Source organism: Homo sapiens, chromosome 3, assembly GCF_000001405.40.
Source record: "Homo sapiens chromosome 3, GRCh38.p14 Primary Assembly".
NCBI lineage: Eukaryota > Metazoa > Chordata > Mammalia > Primates > Hominidae > Homo > Homo sapiens.
In genome coordinates, this window is record NC_000003.12 from 155,362,363 (window position 1) to 155,369,750 (window position 7,388).

Consider the following 7,388-nt stretch of genomic DNA (forward strand, 5'->3'; position numbering starts at 1 on the left):
AAAATTAGACAGGTGTGGTGGCATGCACCTGTAATCCCAGCTACTTGGGAGGCAGAGGCAGGAGAATCGCTTGAACCCAGGAGGCAGAGGTTGCAGTGAGCTGAGATTGCACCACTGCACTCCAGCCTGGGTGACAGAGGGAGACTCTGTCTCAGAAAAGAAAGAATTCCCACCCATGAGGGGCTTTTGTTGTCTCAATCCTTGTTGCCTGATTAGGCCTGGGAAAGTCCAATCCCAGGGGGGTATACCCAGTGTCACAAATTAACAAGCCTGTGACTGGCAAGCCCCCACAAATTTGTGGGATACTAGAGGCACCATACATATGCACAGACATCATCCTTAACCATCTGTGGAAGGAGAGTCTTTTGTTATTTAACTTATTTCTGGGAGTAAATTTTTGAGGGTTTCATATGATGCTGCATCTTCTGCACCCATTTTTAAAACGCCACTTATGTCCATGGTGTTCCTTCCATTAAAAATGTCTGTTGGCTTGAGTCGCTTATGAAATAAACAAAAGGACTATATTTAAAAGAAAACTTTTTAGAGAGCTCTTATCTTAAATAGCCATCTTATTGGTATCTATGAAAAAATACAAAAGAAATATAGCCTTTAAAATTCTATTGGCAAGATTCCAAAATGGCAGAAATCAGATTTAAAACAAAGTTAAAACCCTGTGTATACACACACTGCCTGCTTTGGATTCCCTGTGGGATATGCAAAAAGGGCAATCCAGCCTGTATTCTAGTGGCGAGGATTCCATGCTTTCACATCCACTGCCCAGGTTTGATTCCCAGACGGAGAACCAGTCCCTTAGAGATGTAAGTCCTTTAACCCAGGAGGTAAAAAGAAACATTTATAAGTAAGGAGAGCAAAGATCACCTAGTGACCATCAAGCAGGCCATTAAGAGACAAAAAGAAAAATTCCTTATTTGAGGAATTTAGAAGTAATTAGACTTCCCTATTATCTAAAGTCAGCACCTGGTTCCAGGCCTCTTTTCAACTTAAAATTTACAGGAAACTAGAATGTCTATACACCTCCAGAATGCATGCATGCCGAACTGCCAAACTCATTGTGCAATCCTTACCGACATTAAGGCACCAAGATGTCTACAAATGTAATCGTTTATCATGCAAATTACCCTTCAGCTTCCGCTTTAAGGTCTCTAAACACCTCTAAAGAAAAAGCCACCATGCTGTGCTCAGTCCTCTCTTGCTGAGGCCCCCCGCTGCACTCTTCTGCAGCGTTCCTTCTTTCTAAAAAATATTTCTGTTTTCAAACCCATACCGTTGTCAGTAAATTCTTACCAACCCACAAGTCAACCACTTTCCAATGCCAGGGCTCTGACACCTCGCCCAGCAATAAGAATTAGTTTGGATTACTTATTTTGAATTTATATTTGTGTGACTCTTGACTTTCTGATGTACTCATTTCTTATTGATTCTTTTCCCTTTCCCTTCCATGGATGGCTATTGTTTTCCTGTTTGTCTCTAAGTCTCTTTTTTTTTCATCTAGTAGCTGCTAGACCCAGGGGGTAATTCTGGGTCTTGTGAGGACTGCTTTTTTACACGTTTTTGGAGATGCCTCATGCATCCTTGGTTAAGGTTTTCGTTCTCAGTCACTGGGAAATTACCTTTGGTTTAAAAGAAAAGACAAAAAGTTCAAAAGCCAGGAATATTGGCTTTGTTCTGGCTAAAACTGATAATGAGAGATTCAAAAGATTCTTTGAATTCTATGAGCAAAAGTCAGCTTAAGCAAAGCTGATACTCAGATTATACATATTTTTAGACATTTCTGTTCTCCTTTGGATCCCATTTCTCCCATGGGGATTTTTTTGATCCAACTGAAACCTCTTTTTAATTGTACGTGCGTTCCTTCTGCTTGTTTCCTTTTTTGGCAAGATTTTTGCTTAAAAAGATGTAAAATTTAATTGGCCTTTTTTTGAAAGTTTGAGATCTCCCCACACTGGCTCCTCTAGGACTCATTCTTCCACTTGCTCCTACCCCTGTTTTTGCTATGATCTTCCATTCATTTCCCCTTAATCATTGATATGTGCCCCTTCAAGCCCCTACTTTCTTCATCTGGTGGTCAATGGATGAAAAATTACTAAGAGGAAATATGAGAGTCTTGGTTGTCACATAAAAGAATCTGAAAGAAACTTCTAGTAACTCTCATACCTCTTTGAGAAAGAGAGCTAAGGTATCACTGGCCCCTTTTTAGGTCCTCTGTCTTCCTCACAGAACCCAAAGAGTCATGAGTGGGTCTGGCCCTGTTTGTTAATGGGCTCTGGCGTGAGCAATAATCCAGTTAAGAAACGGAAACTAAGTTTAAAGGCCACCTATCAAACTAAATATCCAAAGTACAACCTTCTGGCCTTCAGCTGGCTATTTTAAAACTCTTGGTAAAAGAAATGTTTATTTATAAAGAGAATCTCAATTTGTAAGGGTCTCTCTCTCTCCCTCTCTCTGCAACTAAACCACTAGAAACTTTTACAATGGGAAAGGCATTGACTTAAAAGTTTACATAACAAATCTTACCTTTGTCTAAAGTAGTTTTTCTGGCTGTCTTGCCTTAACTTAACTGAGCCTTACCTATGTCATTCTCTGTCTTGGCAAATAATGTTTAGATCTAAGTTCTGTATCTTTGAGATATAAATGTTCCACCTTATTTCACCTAAGAGTCAGTACAGATTTAGGACTGCCTAGCTAACAATTGCTTAGGGCAATGAAACAGGTAATCAGAAGGTTGATGGTATGAATGGGGGAAAGAAACTATTTGGAAACTGGCTAATGAAAGATATAAGATCTGCTTCTGTCTATGTGTCCATATGTCTGTCTATGTATCTTATGTGTATGTAATATTTCTATGTGATCTGAGATATTATCTGGTAAATAAAGCTAGTTTTAAAATTTTTGGTAAAATAAAATAGTGTATTCAGAATTGTCAGTATTAAATATAATTCAGACATTTTTGCCTGAGTCTATTGGTCAGATAGGTTTATGCTGTTTGTGTCACATGTTTTAAGGTCATAAAACTGCTACTTCTATAATGTTTTTGGTACTTGCTTGATTTGTCTGTAAGCTAAAGCTGTGAGGGCTGGCTGGTGGGCCCCTCTGAAGTGTCGCACACATCTTGCTGTAAGCATATATCTTTGGGTTTGAGCCTTTGGATTCTAGAGTCTGGATAGGTGACTATGGTGAAGCTTGAGGATATATGTGTGTTCAGAGAACCTAGGCCACCAGCTGTCACCTTCACAGCTCTGTCCACTGTCCTGGGTTCTACACTTGGAGTTTGAATCCAGGATTCAGATGAGCCCTGCCCTTCATAGCCATCCTGGGTGCATGTGGGTACTCAGGACCCAGAACAGCTAGGGAGGACATTAGGAATGGTACCTGTGTCATCATTTCAAAATTCTTTTTAGTAATTTAAAATCTTAAAACCATGTTTTGTTAAATTAAGTAATAGAATCATAAAATGTCTGAGTCATTTCTAAGTCAAAATACTTAACCATGAAATATTGAACATAACTTTAAGTTATATACTTTGAGATCTTATTTTTATATTGTATAGAAAAGCTAAATATTTTTCCTGGGTGATGTTGGTAGAAAATAGGAAAAAAAAGAAAAGCTAAATGCATTTTGTATCAGTTAATAAACAAAATATTGAGGAAACATATCTATCTAAAAATTATGAAATGGCATTTATCTACAAACATATAAAATGGTTCAAAATTACTTATGTGTTAGGTTTTCACTAGAAATTAGACTTACTAAAAGTTAAAAATCAAATTAGTATATGTAATTAAAACTATTAATATAAGAGAAATAATTTATATACAACATGTATAGAAAAGCAAGATATGCTTTTGGTAGAAAAAGTTACAAAGGCATGAGGATGTATGTTTGATGAGAAAAAAATAATTTTGTCTAGTTTAGAGGTTATTTAAAGGCTATTTCTATGGTATCATACTCTTATAGGAAATGAAGGGAGAAGTCACATAGATAAAACTAGATACATATACAAAGTTGGAGGAAAAATAATTTCAAAATCTTATGTGGTTAAACTGACTAAAATTAAACACATTTATTGTAAGGATGTTTTGAGTCTTAAGATAAAAATTACCCTAATGCAAAACTAGAATTTGGCTTTCTCTTTTGAACAAGATTTTTACATAGTATTAATAAGAATAGAAGAATTTGGCTCACCTTTTGAATAAACTGCAAAAAAGAAAAAAATAGACAAAGTAGAGAGAGAAACAGATTCTGTGTGTTTCATGCTATTTTTATCAGGTCTTTTGATTATTTAGAAAACTGAGCATCCTCTTTATCAATCTGTAAAAGCTATTGCTTTGTTAAATTTTTAAATTATTACTCTGGTTAAATAAACTACTATTATTTCCACAGTGACATGTGATCCTATTTTTATGAGATATTTTAAACCTTTTATATATTTGACAGGCTTCAAAAATCAAAATTTAAATTCTAAATTAAGTTTTTTTTAAGCTCAAACTAACTTTGGGATGTTGTAGAGGGCCCTGGAGGCATTCAAAAGAGAGATAATAGACAGGCTTATTTGATATGTTAAATTATACCGGAAGCATTATCAAATAAGAAATGTTTCACCTTCTTTGAGTTATATTTGTATAAATGTGTTGTTAATATGTGTTCCAAAATTGTATGAGATTCCTAGAAATCTGGTACGTTAAATTATTGTAGGTCACAGAAAACAACCAAATTTATTTCTTAATTGAATATTTAACTATGGCCATTTTAACTTTTGAGATCCACAGTAAATTGCTGTATTCTGATACATTTATTCTAAAAAGCTTTTTGCAAATCCTAAAATTTTGTGTTTTCAAGGAGGTTCAGGAAAAAGACTACAATGAGTACTCTTAAATACAGGTTTCTGACAACTTTGAGATCATACCATTGCACAGAGTAAAAATTTCAAAAACTCTAATTAAAAAAACCTAGATTCATAAAATTACTAACCTAACATCAAGCAGAAAAGAATTAATTACATGTGACTAAACTAATGAAGAACTGAAATAATTGTTTTTAATTTTTTTTGTTGAAACGTTGCTGATTCTTTTTTGTTTTCCAGAGTCAAGAAAACTTATTTTTTTCTTTTAAGCTATTTATAGCTTGCATAAATTAGGTAAAGTATACTTTTGTGAGCAAAATTGAAACATTTAGCTTTCTCTATCTGATCCCCCCAGAATTCAAAAACTATTTGTGAATATTCTCATTTTACACAATATGTTTATCTTCATAAGTTCAGTAAGAATCTGTTTCTTTTGTAACAGGAAACACAGTTGGACACACTGATTATTTTAACCAATGCTTTGACCTAAATGTTCTATTTTCAGTTGTGACCAGATGGCTTAGAGGAATAGATTTCACTTTTTAAAGCCAATAGACTTTTAAAAAGACTGGCCTAGTACCTTTTCTTTAAAGTTCCCTTATAAGATTCCTGATTTTGCAGTAAGTAAAGAATAACACTTTTTGACAGGCTCAGGAAATTCAAGATATTTGGGGCCCTCAAGAAGAAAGGAATTCTCTCAATTCATGCAGGAATTGCAGACACAGTATTTAGCTTGGCTCCTAAGCCTCAAGAAAAATTTTGAAGTCTAATCTGAAGTTCCTTATGAGAAAGTTTCAGCAAAGCCATCTTAAAAAGAGCCCACATGGCCAATCGCTATTGTTCCTGCACTTTATGCAAATAATCAGGCCAAGTATAAGACTAAAACTTATTTTGTAAATAAATTGGTCTTCTTTTCATTTATCCTTGATAGAATGGGGGACTGGAGAGAGAAAAATTATGTTTCAAAAAAACTGATAGTATACTTGTTATTAAATTCCAGCTCATTGAGTTTTTTTGTTTGTTTGTTTTCTTTTTGAGATAGGGTCTTGCTCTGTCATCCAGGCTGGGCTCAAGGGATCTTCCCACTTCAGCCTCTCAAGTAGCTGGGACAACAGGCACATGCTGCAATGCCTGGCTGACTTTGATTATTTTCTGTACAAATGCAGTCTCACTATATTGTCCAGACTGGGCTTGAACACCTGGGCTCAAGCGATTCTCCTGCCTCAGCTTCCCAAAGTGTTGGGATTTACAGGTGTGAGCCACCATGCCCAGCCTCACTGGGTTTTTGAGGTTTCATTACTGACCTCCAATCTGTACTTAGTCCTAAATTTTTAGTCCTCTCCAATATCTGACGGTGACTCTCCAGACTAACATTTTTAATTTTTCTCCTGCCCTCTGACTTAAAGTTATTAGAAATCACAATTATGCTCTTCTTAAGCCCTACAAACTGAAGCTAGACAACTTGGTATAAATTTTGAGAGAAATCATCACAGTAACTTATATACAAACAGTCTTTATGCCTGTTGATGTATAGACTACTAAAAAAAGTTCATGGGAATACCTGATTTAAACTACAATACAGGAAAATCTGTCAGATGGCCACTGCCTGCCCACTCCAAATGAAGATGCTTCAAAGACTCTAGGAAATCTAGTTTATAGACTATGCCAGACATTTTTTGTTTTCCTTTTGTTTCCATAGAAATGCCTCTTATTAAAGATCTGTTTGCCTGCATTATATACAGAGGCCTAGCTTTGACAGCACATCTGGAAAACCACCTCCTGAAACAGGACACAGCTGTAAAGGAGCTAATCTATTCTCAGGACTAAGAGACTGATTCAAGAAGATACAGGCTGCTTGTTCCAATCCATGTTTTTTTCCTTCTCCTTTACCAATTTTTATCTCACAACCTTTAACCCAAATCTCTCCATAATTACCAATCCTACTTTTGATATGTGAATATTTCACCCCAAAATATACTTCTTTGACATATTTCAAGAAGGCTATTCAGAAGGCTTGCAGACAGGAATAGCCCTGAAAAGTTGCCTTTTGTGGAGGAGATTTGCATTTGTAGAGAAAAATCTATATTACTGAAATAAATAGCCAGGCTTTCTCTGAGGTGCTCCCTCTTCTCCAGGTCTAGGAAAAATTAACTCGACCACACGCTACTATCTATTCTTTCTGAGAGCTGCTCCCTGTGAGGTTTCATCTACATAATAAGACCAACTTTGTTAGCATGACTTTGCTCTCTCTCCCTCCCATAGCCTGTCTTGTCATACTTCAAGCCTCTATTCTTTCTGTAACCTCAAGATGATATAAAAGCATCAACCACCTGGCCCTTTCCTTGAGTTCGCATATTTCGTATGGCTAATGTGCACACATGTTCACGTTAATACATTTTGTACATCTTCTCTTCTATTAATCTGCCTTTGGTCAGTTAATTTTCAGCAAACCTTCAGAGAGTGAAGGGAATGTTTTCCATTGGCCCCTACACTTGCACCAAAATGATTAGCCTACCATTTCATAAAC

At 35.9% G+C, this 7,388-nt stretch overlaps 2 annotated features.

The window, feature by feature from the left end:
- Positions 438-1,116: an enhancer, noted in NCBI's record as "OCT4-NANOG-H3K27ac hESC enhancer chr3:155080589-155081267 (GRCh37/hg19 assembly coordinates)". NCBI's record gives its function as "activates a minimal SCP1, AML or CMV promoter by ChIP-STARR-seq in naive and primed H9 embryonic stem cells {active_cell/tissue: H9 hESC(naive and primed)}" and the evidence as "EXISTENCE:reporter gene assay evidence [ECO:0000049][PMID:30033119]".
- Positions 1,117-1,794: an enhancer, noted in NCBI's record as "OCT4-NANOG hESC enhancer chr3:155081268-155081945 (GRCh37/hg19 assembly coordinates)". NCBI's record gives its function as "activates a minimal SCP1, AML or CMV promoter by ChIP-STARR-seq in naive H9 embryonic stem cells {active_cell/tissue: H9 hESC(naive)}" and the evidence as "EXISTENCE:reporter gene assay evidence [ECO:0000049][PMID:30033119]".